Here is a 15,689-nt window from a genome sequence, read left to right as displayed (position 1 = left end):
AGCAGCCAGTTCAGGAATGCAAGCCACAAATTCAGTAGCAATTTGCCGAAAACAATCAGAGGTTGGTCAATGACTGCCAACTTCTCTAAGATTGCCCCTGCTTCTAGTTTAGTACTAATTAAAGAAAGCCAAATACTCTCTCCAAACCTATCCCATCAGATGCCTTGCTTCTCTTTAGCCTACCTGCGCCTCTCCATGCCCATAGCCTCCTACCCCAAAGCCTTGCCCCTTTTCACTATAAAGCTTTCCCATTCTCCCAGCCTGAGTCTCTGTCAAACATAAATGATAGTGACTGCCTCCCTTTCTCTAGCAAGCAAGAAATAAATAGCTTCTGTTCTCATTAAGTTGTCTCCTTTATTTCTGTAATTTTCTGTTTTTTTTTTTAATTTTTTAATTTTTTTGAGACTGAATCTTGCCCTGTCGCCCAGACTGGAGTGCAGCAGCACGATATGGGCTCACTGCAATCTCTGCCTCCCAGGTTCAAGAGATTCTCCTGCCTCAGCCTCCCAAGTAGCTGAAACTACAGGCATGTGCTACCACACCTGTCTAATTTTTGTATTTTTTGTAGAGACAGGGTTTCACCATGTTGGCCAGGCTGGTCTCGAACTCCTGACCTCAGGTGATCCACCTGCCTCAGCCTCCCAAAGTGCTGGGTTTATAGGCATGAGCCACCATGCCTGGTCTGTATTTCTGTAATTTTCCTAGAAGCTCCACTGAGACACATTCTTAACTGCTCATCACTATGGACTTTGGACCCTGATCAAGTGTGCTATCTATGGAGGCCTCTTGTGCCTTGCTTCTTGAGGCCTGTCAAGTCTGTGTTGACACAGTGTCTGTGAGAGAACAGAGTTGGGCTTCAACTCTGTTCTCTTTGTATTGAGATCCTTGGTTATTGACTATCAGCTTGGTACTCAGCTTTTGCTACCAATTCCCATTTGTTTGGCACCCTTGGAAAAATACTGCCATTTCTTTTCATTCCTTTTTGTTCTCTTTTGTGCTTCTGTTTTATGAGATATGTCTAAAGTGTTGTCTGTTATCAGAAGGAGAATCAGTGCAGAACACAGGCTTTGCTCCTCTAAGAGTGTCTCAGCTTGCTCCACAACTGATGAGCTGCAATTCTTACCAAACCAGCATCCATCTGGACAAACTTTCCTAAACTTTCCTGTCAGTCACCAATAAAATGGGATAAGGTTCTTCATCTTTTTTTTTTTTTTTTTTTTTTTTTGGCCCTGAGAGGTTGGATTTGATGCAGAGGGAATATTCTGGTTTTCCATTTGCCTGTGGGCACAAGTTGTCAAGTCTGCATTTGGAGGTTGCCAACTATCAGGTTGGGGGCCTAAGACATAAAGTGCACAAATATTACTTTCAACTGACCATTGCCAGCTCCCATGGAATTTTCTGAGTGTAAATCCTCTTTTCCTTTTTTTCCTCCAGAAAAACCTCCCATTTCTTATACGTACCCTTGCTACGATCCTAGCACTTGCACCCATCTCTATACCAAGGATAATTTAGGCCTTCAGTGGCTAATCTGGAGAACATTGGACTTGAACAAAATTGTTCATTTGAAAAACACCTTAGAAAAGAGAGAATATTTCTCAGGGGCAATGGGCAGCAGTTTTTGATTGGTACACAAGTTTTCAAATGAAATTCTGATTCAGACATTACTCTGCTAAAATATTTTTTGGCCAGAGCTAATGAACAGTATGACAAACTTAACAACAAACTAACTCATTTGCCCAGCAAATCTTCCCCCGGCTTCTCCTCCAGTTGACTTCAGCTCTGCAACTCTTCCTCATCCCCCCATCCTCCTTTCACACCTCATTGACTCCTCCCTCTTCTTCCAGACCCCCTACCTTCTCCCAGTGACTCTCCTAAGATCCCGGAATGTCATTTACCTCTAAAGTTCCATCTCTTCAATGACCCAAATACGCAAGCAGCAGTAGAATTTAAACCTTGAACACGAGCTGAATTAAAAGCTATGACTAAGCATTTCCCAAAGGAGTTCAGAATTCTAAATTCTTTTAGTTGTACACAACTCAGGGTTACCTGAGCTATATCAACTTGTATTTATGTTTGTAGATCCTCAGACATTAAATCCTGATGGCAAAAGCCAGTTGGATTCACCAGGACAGAGATCTACAGCATCTTTCTTTCCACAATAAGCCTGAGGGCCAAAAAGAGGCTCAAAAAGTAGGGCAATGTATCCTAAAAGCCTTACTTGAAACATTTCTAGTAAAAATAAAATGGACCACAATTTAATCATGTAAATAAAGAAAAGAAGAAATTATAGGAGATTTTCAGAATAAACTAGAAAACCCCTTTCAACAACATTTGAGTGTTAAAGAAGTGTAAGTGTAATAATGGCTCTTTTACCTACTTTGTTAATGGAATTAAACCTGAAATTGGAGACAATAATTAGATCAAAATTAGAATGGGAAATAGCCACTTTACCTGAACTTCAACACCTGGCTGACATTTTTGCAGAGCCCTAGGACAATAACAAGACAGGATCCAGAATAACCTTACGGCCCTGCAGATCAAACAGTTGAGTGGACGACCCATAGAAGAGGACACCTGCAGATATTGAAAACAGAAGGGACACCTGAAAAATGATTTTCCAGTAAAAATAAGACCAAAAGACCCCTTAATTTAGATCAATGAAGGTACCCAATATCCTGATTTAAAATTTAACATTCAAGGTGAATTAACCATAAATATAGGTGGCCAACCTCAGCAATTCCTGGCAATATGGGCGCTACTCTTTCTTTTCTTTCTTTCTTTTTTTGTTTTGAGACAGAGTCTTACTCTGTCACTGAGGCTGCAGTGCATTGGCACAATCTCGGTTCACTGCAACCGCTTCCTGGGTTCAAGCGATTCTCCTGCCTCAGCCTCCTGAGTAACTGGGACTACAGGCATGCATCATGATACCCTGCTTTTTTTTTTTTTTTTTTTTTGTATTTTTAGTAGAGATGGGGTTTTGCCATGTTGGTCAGGCTGCTCTAGAACTCCTGACCTCAGGTGATCTGCCTGCCTTGGCCCCCCAAAGTGCTGGGATTACAGGTGTGAGCCACCATGCCCAGCCAGGCACTAACTCTTTCTACATTAAACCCTGGCAATTTTGCTCAACATTTTCCTCATAGGAAGCAAGTAGCAGGTATCTCAAATAACCCACAGATTCCTTCTATCTCCTACTGTAACTACAACCTTTGGGTACTTGACTTAAAAACATTTCTCCCTGCTCTATTATAACACTCTTGCAAATTTAATGGGGAGTAACTTAATTTTCAAATAGAATTATAATAGTAAGTGCACCAGCTGGGCATGGTGGCTCACGCCTGTAATCCTAGCACTTTGGGAGGCTGAGGTGGGTGGACCACTTGAGTACAGGAGTTCAAGACCAGCCTGGATAACACGGTGAAACCCTGCCGCTACTAAAAAAAAAAAAAAAAGAAATACGAAAATTAGCTGGTGTGGTGGCACATGCTTGTAATCCCAGCTACTTGGGAGGCTAAAATGGGAGGATCACCTGAACCCGGGATGCAGAGGTTGCAGTGAGCCAAGATCACACCTCTGCACTCCAGCCCGGGTAACAGAGCAACACTCTGTCTCAGAAAAACAATAAATGCACAGCAGAGTCTCCTGAGGGTTCCTCTATATGTCGTCTCTGGATATACGTTTGTCTCCTTCATTATATTTGACATACGCTCCAGATAAAGACCTCAACACTCTACCTAACACTCTACAAACTAAAAAAATCCATTTATATGGGAAATTACTGGAGCAGAACCTAGTCAAGTTCAGAAGTATCCTAGTAAACCATGGTCAAACTTCCCTGATATTCCTTGAAAAACCAGAAGCAAAGGAAGGCTTCAAAACTGTAGTTGACGACCTTATAACCAAAGACTTTCTCATACGCTGCAATAGCCCATACACCACACTTGTTCTGCTGGTACACTTTTTTCATGACCTCAGGAAAGATCAACAAAATTGTTTTGCTTTGCTTCCTAGTAGTACCTATCCTGTCATCAATTCTGCCCAAAACCACTTGCTTCACCATATTGAATCTTTACTGTGCATTTTTCAGTGTGCTTCCAAACCAGAACAGGCAACGACTTTGCCTTCATCTGGAGAGGACAACAAATATACCCGGATAGTCATACCCCAGGGGCTCACTAAAGCCCCCTCTTACTTTCCACAAGTCCTCAATCAAGACTTAAAGATCTAAATTTCACTTGTGATTCGGTTTTGATGCAATATATGCAGGATCAGATGATCTCCACTGCTTTCTTCAGAGAACGAGGAAGCTGGTGAGAAGGTGAGAGCAAGTAAATACTTGCTCTCAGCCATAGCAGAAAAAGAACATAATGTTTCAAAAGATAAATTATAATTTTGTCAAAAGACAGGCTAGTATTTAGGGCATAAGTTATCTTAAGAGGGTGAAATTATTTTGTCTCTATTGGTAGGCAGAACACTATCGAAACTTCACCTCGATGCCTCGCAAAATGACAATTGAGAGGATTTCTAGATTTAACTGGATATTGTAGACAATGGCTGCGAAATTTTTCTGAGCTTGCAATCTCTTTTTATGAATTGGCCGAGTCCTTAGTGAGAAACTGTCTTTTGTGGGGGCCCAAATATAAATTCTGTAACTCAAGAAGGCTCTTCAGTAGCCTCTTCCTGTGGTAGTTAGGCACTCCCTTTCATAATTAGGCACCCCTGACTACAATATGCCATTTTGTCTAATTGTGCGTGGACAACTTGTACAAGCTTTTTTGTTTTTAACTCAATGTCATGGAAACCATCAAAAATTCATCATTTTCCATAGCCTTACCCTTGACCCAGCTGCAAAGGCTTATAGCCCTTGTCTTAAGGCAACAGCTTCCACTGCAACATTTGTTGATGCTTCTTTTAAACTATTTCTAGGCTCCCCACCTCACATCATGATTCCCTGGCCAGTGTAGACATAACCACTGACAAAGAGCATGCAATACTTTCCAACCAGCTGATCAACTTCTTATGAGAGTTTTACTCCCTCTCTCTCGCTTTACTATTCACTGATGCAATTCCTTAAACTGCCACTCTTCTCCCCCTGCCAGAAGAAGGGAACCTCATGATGGTTATAAGTCAGTTAGGGGAGTTTCTGTACCTCACTCAGATTGATGAGAGACTGACTCTCATTGTGAACTCTGATTCAATGTTATTCATTGATGGATCATACCTCAAAACTGATATTGAAAATTATCACTAATTTAAGCTCTACTTTAGAATATATTTTCTATCTGAGGTAAAATCAACCCATATAATGGAATTTATTACACTTACTAGAGCTTGTCAATTAGCTGAAGACCATGTAGTAAACATAGAGCAGGTATGCTTTTAGAGTACTACATGAATTTGGGATGCTTTGGGGAAAAAAAGAAATTCATCATCTCTGCTGGAAACCCCATGAAAATGAATAAGTTAAGGCACTCTACTTTCTAGAGTTGGCTATTTTAAGGTTGAGGCCCATACAAAGAAAGAAGGTAATAGAAAAACTAAAGAAAAAATTCTAACAGAACTTTATGCCAAAAAAAAAAGCCTTAACTAAAGTTAATGTTTTTGTTTGTTTGTTTGGTTGGTTGGTTTTTGTTTTTTGAGATGGATTCTTGCTCTGTCGCCCAGGCTGGAGTGCAGTGGCGCCATCTCAGCTCACTACAAGTTCCGCCTCCTGGGTTCACGCCATTCTCCTGCCTCAGCCTCCTGAGTAGCTGGGACTACATGCGCCCGCTGCCACGCCTGGCCTTTTTTTTTTTTTTTTTTTTTTTTTTAGTAGAGATGGGGTTTCACTGTGTTAGCCAGGATGGTCTCCATCTCCTGACCTCGTGATCCGCCTGCCTCAGCCTCCCAAAGTGCTGGGATTACAAGCGTGAGCCACCGAGCCCGGCCTAAAGTTATTGTCTTCTGTAAATCTTCAAAGGAGAAGTTCCTAAGGATTCAGATAGGCCATTATAAAATATCAGTGGGTCAACCCCAGTTTCCAAACGGAAGTCTGGAAATTCCACCTCAGACTGGAGCTTCCAAATGTGGCCACCCTTGATTATTCAGGCAGTCTACCTGGGGGACTTACTGACTCACTGTGTGAATAATCAGAGTGAGAATTGTACAAATAGAAAAAAACTGTAAGAAAACCATCACCAATAATTTTATCACCAATAACTCTGGCAGAAGTTAATGACATTGTCTCTTCCCTATACGAAATATAAATCAGCCTCAATTCATTGGTACAAGTAATAATAACCACATTTCTCTAGATTTCTTGTTGGCTACTCATGGTAGCTCTGTGTTATTGCTAATACTTCTCACTATATTTGAATCAACGAAACAGGCAAAGTAAAACAGGCTCTACATCTCACATTTCCTTATGGAAAAAAGATAATTGCCATTCTAAGGCAGATCTTCAAGGTCTGTGGCCTATATGTTCTCTTGGTCTGGGTTGGAAAATTAGAATTTCTGCTTCTGTAACATTTTATAGGGACTAGTGATTATTTTTGTTTTTGAAACCCGACCTTTAAGCCAAAGACAGCCTGACCCCTGAAAACCCAACTGCCAGTTCTAGGTAGAGTCCACAACCGGAGTGAGAACATCCTCTATGCCTTTTAACCAATAAATGGTGCTTTTTCCAAGACCTCCCCCGGCCCAATCAGCATGCACTCCCCCATTCTGAGCCCTTAAAAATCCTATACTCAGCCACACAGATGGCTGCCGGCTTTCAGGCCCCCTTTCACACAGAAGTCTACCCACTTCAGGTCCCCTCTTGTGTTGAGAGCTTTTCTGCCGCTCAATAAAATTCTTCTCTGCCTTTCTCACTCTCTGCTGTCCACACACCTTATTCTTGTTGGTTGTGGGAACTCCCCAAGCTGCGGGTGACAGTAACAAAGGAGATGTAAGGCACCCCTGTTCACTGGGCTGCAGGCAGCAGGAACCAGAGAGAACTGTAACATTTCCAGGGGGCTCAGACCTCAGGACTCCCCAAGCAAAAGCTGTAACACCCTTTGGGGCTTTGCAGTTGCTGTCATCTCCAAGTATTCTGGCGCCACCACCTCCCCTTCATCTAGATACCAGCGCCCAATATGGAAGCCAATTGCAGCATGCCCAGTCCAGCTATGAGCTGAGCACGCAGCCACACTGACCACAGGATCTGGGCCAGTAATGTGAGCCAAGCGCAGCCTGCTGGGCCAAGTGGGCAGAGCAACCCGGCAGGCCTGAGCAAGGGCCGGAACAGAAGTCAGTGCAGCCACAGAGATTTCCAGCTGGTGAAGCGGCACTGAAGGAATTCTGTAACACTGTAACCTCCCTCTCACTCGCCAAGCAACAGGGGGGAAAAAGCCGCTGGGCGCCATTCCACCCTGCACACGGAACTACAAAGCGTGCAACACTTTGGTCATACCTGCCATGATGCAGGTCCATCACATCCTCTGCCAAGTCTTACATTCTACTGGGCAGCTGTTCTCACCAGAGATCATTGCCATACTGTGTCCGGAGTTGGTTCCTACTGGTGGGTTCATGGTCTCGCTGACTTCAAGAATAAAGCCACAGACCTTCGCTGTGACTGTTACAGCTCTTAAAGATGGCACAGACCCAAACTGAGCACTAGCAAGGTTTATTGTGAAGAGGAAAGCTTCCACAGCATGGAAAGGGGAGCAGGTTGCCACTGCTGGCTGGGGTGGCCAGCTTTTATTCCCTTATTGGCCCCTCCCATATTCTGTTCCTGTCCTATCAGAATGCCCTTTTTTCAATCCTCCAGGCAATTGGCTACTTTTAGAATCTGCTGACTGGTGCATTTTACAGAGTGCTGATTGGTGCTTTATACAATCCTCTTGTAAGACAGGGAAGTTCCCCAAGTCCCCACTGGACCCAGGAAGTCCAACTGGCCTCACCTCTCAGTGGTGACACAACAACAAAAAGTCAAGACCTCACAATATAGTTTGCAATGGAGACCACTCGGCAATATCATAGTGGTGAAGATGTGGGTTTCTAGCTGCCCCTGAATTGGTCAATCTCTCGTAAGTAAGAGAATGACCATAATGGGGGGCTGAGAGGATAAATATTCAAATGAGTAGTGGTCAGATGATATGACAATAGAATTCTGATTCACAATCTCTGAAGCCACCAGTCCAGGAAGCCAAACCGCATCATTGGCAGTAATTGGTCCCAAGTGGTCAGGATATCATTAATGACTGTTAGCTTCCCTATTTTGCCTTGTTTCCAACTTAGAACCAACCAAATAAAGCAAAATATGTTCCCCAAACCAACCACATAAGATACTCTGCTTCTAGTTAACCTACTTCCAACTTCCCCTTGCCAACTACATGCAATCAGAGCATACTTGAAGCCTTCCCCCACGCTTTCCCTCCCATTTTTTGCTCACTCTAAAGCTTTCCCACTCCCAAACTTTGAATTAATCACCTGTTCTCATGTGGGTAGTCTACCTTTATTTCTACAGTAAGGTGCATGCAAGCCTTTTCTAGTCACATTTAAAATGGTGAAAAGCAGCATCATACCAGAAATATTTGATTTTCTACTTTTTGATTAGGTAAGCAGAGAGGGATGATTTCTGAGTCTTACAAAGAGTACATATCACTTCAGAAACATATGAGTTGTGGAAAGTGATGTCTGCTTTTCTCTATATTATACATAAAACATAGCAAATATCTTACTTTAATGAGCTGGTGTGTGGGGATATAGAGATGACCAAGCTGAAAGGATTGACAATAAGATAACAACTAGAAACTGAATCCCTGAAGTGACATCTCTGTGCTTGCAGCCTTTTCTCTGAATATAAAATGCACATTTTTACACAACCCCTGTGAAATCTTAGCACTTTATATCACAAGGGTAAGTAAAATGCACACGTTTTTAAAAATCAAGTATTTTAAGGTCTCCAAAATGACAGATCTTTTCCCTCTGTGAGTCATATCATGATTTACCTTGAAAGTATTTTAAGAATATTCTATGACACAAAGAGACTAAGGTTATTCAAATGAGTTTGAAGTCCCTTTAGTTTCTCTTTATTCTCAATGAATTGCAAAGGCAACTGCAGTTCCTTACCCTGCTTCCAGCTCTCTGCTGAAGTTGAGGTTTGTGGGGGTTCAATCAGGCCAATTGGAAAAATATTAATGATAGTTATAGTAATAGCCACAAACTCTCTTGGAAAGCCTGAGAGTTTGCATAGCTTCTGATTGTCTGGCTGAAGGCAGCCAGAGTCTCTTTGCAGGAGCTAGAGAGCTTAAGGCACAAATACAAAATAATGTAGAGTAGTTTATCTAACTAACTTGTTTTCCTAAGACTAACCTTTGATGTACCCTGGGTGCTTAATTGCTTTCTACTCAGGAAGTCCACAATGTCAGTTACCCTCTAATGGTGTTTTCCTATGACCTTTGTCAATTAATCTTTACTAAATAAATGCAAGTCTCACTGACTGATCGAGGAGTTGCAACTGTTTACAGTACTCTCCAGGGAGTCTGTAGGTGGCTCAGACACTCAGCTGGACTGGCAAAGCAGAATATCTGTGTGTCAGTGTACTTCATTCATCCATCGCTGGGTCAGGGTCTGCAGGTTGGACCCTAGCAGAGGTTCCTCAAAGGATTCCACATTCTTGGTCACCAAAGCTGTTGTGGTTTTCTTCACCATGGAAGTAGATAAGTAGCAGGCCTCTGCCCTAATAGTTGGTCAAGTCCCTGCAGGCGCATGGGGACCACTGTTCTGGCAAATGCTGGTTGGGGAGAACATACAGATTTTAATCACTTTTAAAAATAGACTCAGGGGGTACAAGTGCAGTTTTGTTACATGGATATATTGTGTGCTGGTGAAACCTCAGCATTTAGTGTACCCATCACCCAAATAGTGTACAGTGTACCTTTCAGGTAATTTCTCATCCCTCACTTCCCTCTCACCCTTCCAGTGTCTACTGGAGTCTCCAAAATCTCCAATGAGTCTTCAATGTCTATTCCACTTTTCATGTCCATAGGTACATATTACTTATCTCTCACTTATAAGTGAGAACATGCAGTCTTTGAATTTCTGTTTCTGAGTTATATCACTTAAGATAATGGCCTCCAGTTCCATCCATATTGCTGCAAAAAGTATAATTTCATTCTTTTTTATGGCTGAGAAGTATTCCATACTTCCCAAACAGAAATGTTGTACTTGTGATAACATCCAGCCACTTCTTTTATCTTATTTGGAATTCAAAGGGGGCAAATTTCTTCTTATTATTAAGCAGTATATAAAGCAACCAAGAATAATCTTCAGACCAAAGAAGACTATTCATGTCCATGAGGATGGCACAGAGAGAGACTGGCATAAGATAAACTGTGAAAGGCAGAGGAATGGAAGGGTTTAGGGCTTCATAGGTCAGGATAAGCAACTTGAATTTTATTCTGAATGCAATGGGCAATCATTGAAGTGCTTTAGGCAGTGGAGTGACTTTTTCTTTTCAAGTTTTGAGTGATTGTCCATCTTCAACCTGTAATCCCTCCTATTTACCATAATTCTTCCTTTTTACCAGAATGGTTACAGAGCCAAGTCAAGGGAGGGGTTGGTACCATTAGAATATAAATAACATTTTCTGAATAGACATAGGGCTTTTCTTGCAACACTAAGTTACCATTACACTTCTAGATAAAACAAATGTGATGATTTGTACATGTGCATAGAATCTAGGATGAATTGTACTTTGAGTTCTAGACTCAAATTGGGGTGGTAGAAGTGGAATGGAGCCAGGAAATAGTTAAATTCTAGTCTCTGGGGTTCCATTAAGGAGAACAGATCATTCTTATCCTCTTTGGTTATAAAGACCCTAAACTGTCTTTTCCATGCTTGGAATGGGTAATTTTAAATTTTAAATACATAGAATAAGCAGGCCTTCAGGAATTTATTACTTCACACAGTCCATATGCAGCCCTCTTATTTTGTGCCTTAGCCCCTGTGGACACCTTTTCCCAAAGCACCAGATTTTCCTGCTGTTGTAAGTGTGTACAGGACCCAAGGCTAAAGTACCTTACTGACACAGCAGGCTGCTGACCTCACCCCTCATCTTCAAAGCATTTTCAAGTTGGAGCATATTTGTGAAATAAATATTATCTTTCTTCCTTCTAATTACAAAATTAATAAATGTTACTTTGTAAAAATAATAATTTAAAAATCACTCCTATTTTCATCATTCCCAAATAACAGCTAAAATTTTAGTGCCATCTTTTTTTTAATCTTTCTTGTGCACTCATTTACAGTGTGAGGTACAGGGAAATTTAAGGAGCAAAGAAGAAGTTTAATTTTTTAAAATCATTTTGAAATTACTAGAAGTATTAAATCCTTAGAGGTTAAGTTCATTTACATTGGGAAAACTCTCTTTTTCTCTGGCATGAACCACTTGGACAGTCCCTCTCATGATAACAGGTATAAGGCAAGTGCCCAACGCATGGTTCAGGGGATGGTTGTAACTATGTTTGTCTTATCAATGGTCTGATAAGTGAGGTTGCTCCTGCTTCTAGAAGTATCTATTTTTCTTTTGCAAATTTATAGAGATATAAAAGAGCCATTTGTGCAGAAGGGAAGTGGCATCCAGACCATTTCTCTTTGAGCTTCAGTGCCATTTAGAACATGTTTGATAAACTAGGGTGTCTCAGACTCACAAGTATTGGGAGAAAAGAGCAACAGTGGCCCATTAAAGGAAACTCAATATAAGTGAAGTGAGGTACTGGCTGGGACTGAACACTTGGGTCACTGCTGATAGGGAGAATGTGTGGCAGATGCTGACTTCTGTATCAGGATTATCAGTGGTGTTTGAAGCCTGTTGAAGTGGATTGTGGTGAATGCTCGTTCAGTCACACCACTCACCCGTTAGTTAAAGGCCATAAGAAGGCAGAAAGGCAGGTTCATCCTGAGTCAGGGTTTGTGAGAGTGATGCCATGCGATGGGCAGAGAGGCTAGGGAAGCAGCTATCAAACGATAATGTACTTCAGAGGCGCATATTCCATTTGCAGATTTCAAGCTTCATTCATTCCAGATTGAATGGGGCCTAGGAATATGCATTTTAGCAAGTACCCCTGGTAATTCAGAGGCAGTAGTTTCATGGACCACACTTGGAGAAACACAGTTTTGACTAATGATAGAAGAGAGGAAATGGTAAATAATGGACGATATTCTTCCTAAGCTTGATAAGATGAGAAACGAATACAGCAGGAGCTAATAGATGGGGAGAAAGTCAGGTGGAATGGATGGAATGAATGCGGTTACTGAGTATCAGGATGAGGGGAATTTCATCCTGAGGAGAATATGAGTAAGAAGCATTTTCAAGCAAAATAAAAATCAGATATGACTTTTCCTACTGAAAAGTCTGAAGTTAAAATAATTAAAACTGCTGTTTGTTCAGAAATCGACAAATCAACAATGAAATGAGGGGTCTCAGAATATAGTGTGCACGTATGAACATAATGAAAGGTAAAGGTGACATTATAAATGTGTAGGGTCACAGAATATGAACAAAGTGACATAATAACATACAGAAAGGACATTTTGTCTTTTGTGTCACACTGTGTCTCATCCCCCACAGGAAGTAGGAGCACATGTCCAATGGCATTTAATTAGTAGACACTTTTGAAAACTGAGAGAATATACAACCACCCAACAGTCAGAATACCCCTCCCTCTTCTACATAGAGAGGCGGGAGAGACTGATACCAGGTACCTCCAGGTGATTGAAGAGCTAATATTTAGTGAGCAATGAGTGTATAATTTTGAAATAGACATCTTGTCACTTTTCAGTGTTTTCTACAGATAGACTAGAACCAAGAGAAATGAAGAAGTGTGGTGGTGAGGGAACAGGCTTAGATACAGAATGCCAAATATCTCACTGATGGCTTAGGCTACCCGCAAATTGGATACAAATGCTAAAATCACATCCCTGTGGTAGTGAGAGAGAGCAATGATCTTAGGTTTATGGTAAGGAAGAGATTTCTATGGGAATTCTATGGAGGGGTTACTCAACGTTTTACTGGTGTTCAACTTCAGTATATTGCCTAACCCATTTAAAGACTTGTCTTTGTGTAGTATTTGATAGATTAATATATATTTTAATACATTTTTCTACCCAATTTTCCTTATTAAATTAAAAAACTGTGGTTCAGAGTGATAAAGGGTATTGAAGTTGGTACCATTAGAATATAAATAACATTTTTCTGGCCAGGCTCAGTGGCTTACACCAGCGGGCGGATCACCTGAGGTTAGGAGTTCAAGACCAGCCTGGCCAACATGGTGAAACCCGGTCTCTGCTAAAAATACATATATGTATATGTAGCTGGGCGTGGTGGTGGGCGCCTGTAATCCCAGCCACTCGGGAGGCTGAGGCAGGAGAATCGCTTGAACCCGGGAGACAGAGGTTGCAGTGAGCCAAGATCGCGCTACTGCACTCCAGCCTGGGTGACAGAGTAACACTCTGAAAAAAAAAAAAAAAATATATATATATATATATATATATGTATAAACATTTTTCTGAATAGACATACTGATATGGTTTGGCTCTCTGTCCCCATCCAAATCTCATCTCGAATTGTAATCCCCACACATCCGAGGAGGGACCTGGTGGGGGGTGGTCGGATCACAGGGACAGTTTCCCCGATGCTGTGCTGGTGCTGGTGAGTGAGTTCTCATGAGATCTGATGGTTTTTTTGTAAGAGGAAGTTTCGCCTGTTTTCTTTTTCCTGCTGCCTTGTGAAGAAGATACTTGCTTCTCCTTTGCCTTCCGCCATGGTTGTAAGTTTCCTGAGCCCTCCCCAGCCACGTGGAACTGTGTCAATTAAACCTGTTTCCTGAGAGGTGCTCCAGCCTCCGCGCGGTCAGCAGTCAGCGCCGTAGTGTCCGGCCTGCCGCATGCCCTGCAGGTAGCGCCCCCGCCTGCGGCCCAGAGTGCACTCGCGCCTGCGCCATCTCCCGGAAAAATTTCGCGCCACGCAGAGATGACAGCCAAGGAGATGAAGGCGACCGAGAGTGCGGCGCAGCCAGCGCCGCTGCCCAAGAAGGAAGTGGACGTCAGCCCCAAACAGGATGAAGGAGTGCTGAAGGTCATCAAGAGAGAGGGCACAGGTACAGAGATGCCCATGACTGGGGACCTAGTCTTTGTCCACTACACTGGCTGGCTGTTAGAGGGCACAAAGTTTGACTCCAGCGTGGATCGCAAGGACAAATTCTCCTTTGACCTGGGAAAAGGGGAGGTCATCAAGGCTTGGGACATTGCCGTAGCAACCATGAAGGTGGGGGAGGTGGGCCACATCACCTGCAAACCAGGATATGCCTAGGGTTCAGCAGACAGTCCTCCAACGATCCCCCCATAACGCCACGCTTGTGTTTGAGGTGGAATTGTTTAAGGAAGAAGATCTGACGGAAGAGGAAGATGGGGGAATCATCCGCAGAATAGGGACTCGCGGTGAAGGCTATGTCAAGCCCGATGAGGGCGCTATGGTGGAGGTTGCGCTGGAAGGGTGCTGCAAGGACCAGCTCTTTGACCAACGGGCGCTCCGCTTTGAGGTTAGCGAGGGGGAGAACCTGGATCTGCCTTATGATCTGGAGAGGGCCATTCAGCACTTGGAGAAAGGAGAACATTCCACTGTGTACCTCAAGCCCAGCTATGCTTTTGGCAGTGTTGGGAAGGAAAAGTTCCAAATCCCACCAAATGCCGAGCTGAAATATGAATTACATCTCAAGAGTTTTGAAAAGGCCAAGGAATCTTGGGAGATGATTTCAGAAGAGAAGCTGGAACAGAACACCATAGTGAAAGAGCAGGGCAGTGTGTACTTCAAGGAAGGCAAATACAAGCAAGCTTTACTACAGTGTAAGAAGATTGTGTCCTGGCTGGAATATGAGTCTAGTTTTTCCAATGAGGAAGCACAGAAGGCACAGGCCCTTCGACTGGCCTCTCACCTCGACCTGGCCATGTGTCAGCTGAAACTACAGGCCTTCTCTGCTGCCATTGAAAGTTGTAACAATGCCCTAGAACTGGGCAGCAACAACGAGAAGGGCCCCTTCCGCCGGGGAGAGGCCCACCTGGCGGTGAATGACTTTGAACTGGCATGGGCTGACTTCCAGAAGGTCCTGCAGCTCTACCCCAACGACAAAGCCGCCAGGGCCCAGCTGGCTGTGGGTCAGCAGCGGATCCACAGGCAGCTTGCCTGGGAGAAGTTCTATGCCAAAATGTTTGAGAGGCTGGCTGAGGAGGAGAACAAGGCCAAGGCAGAGGCTTGCTCAGGAGACCATCCCACTGACACAGAGATGAAGGCGGAGTGCAAGAGCAACACGGCGGGAGCCAGTCTCAGGTGGAGACAGAAGCATAGCGCTTCTCACCAGCCCTACTCCTGAGGCTGCCTGCCCCCCAGCCTCCCCACTCCACCCTGTTAGTTTTGTAAAAACTGAAGAATTTTGAGTGAAAACAAAACAAAACAAAAAACTCCTCTTTCATTTATAAATTACACAGTCTCAGGTATTTCTTTATAGTAGTGTGAAAATTGAATAAAACACATAATTTCACCTTGTAAGGTGAATCCTCCTTGGTTCTCATGTAACCAATGTTTTAACACTCTTCTTTAAAAGGGCTTTTCTTAATGTTGGAAAAATTTCCCAAAACAAAAAGTGCAATAGGGACATATTAAATTTAGCAACCAA

General features: G+C 42.8%; 1 pseudogene; it reads left to right on the top strand.

Moving 5' to 3' along the window:
* FKBP4P8 (FKBP prolyl isomerase 4 pseudogene 8) lies at positions 13,847 to 15,455 on the top strand (annotated as a pseudogene).

The sequence above is a fragment of the Homo sapiens genome, chromosome 9 (genome assembly GCF_000001405.40).
Source record: "Homo sapiens chromosome 9, GRCh38.p14 Primary Assembly".
Lineage (NCBI taxonomy): Eukaryota > Metazoa > Chordata > Mammalia > Primates > Hominidae > Homo > Homo sapiens.
The sequence above is the reverse complement of the archived record's forward strand: the minus strand, read 5'-3'. Positions and strand labels throughout refer to the sequence as shown.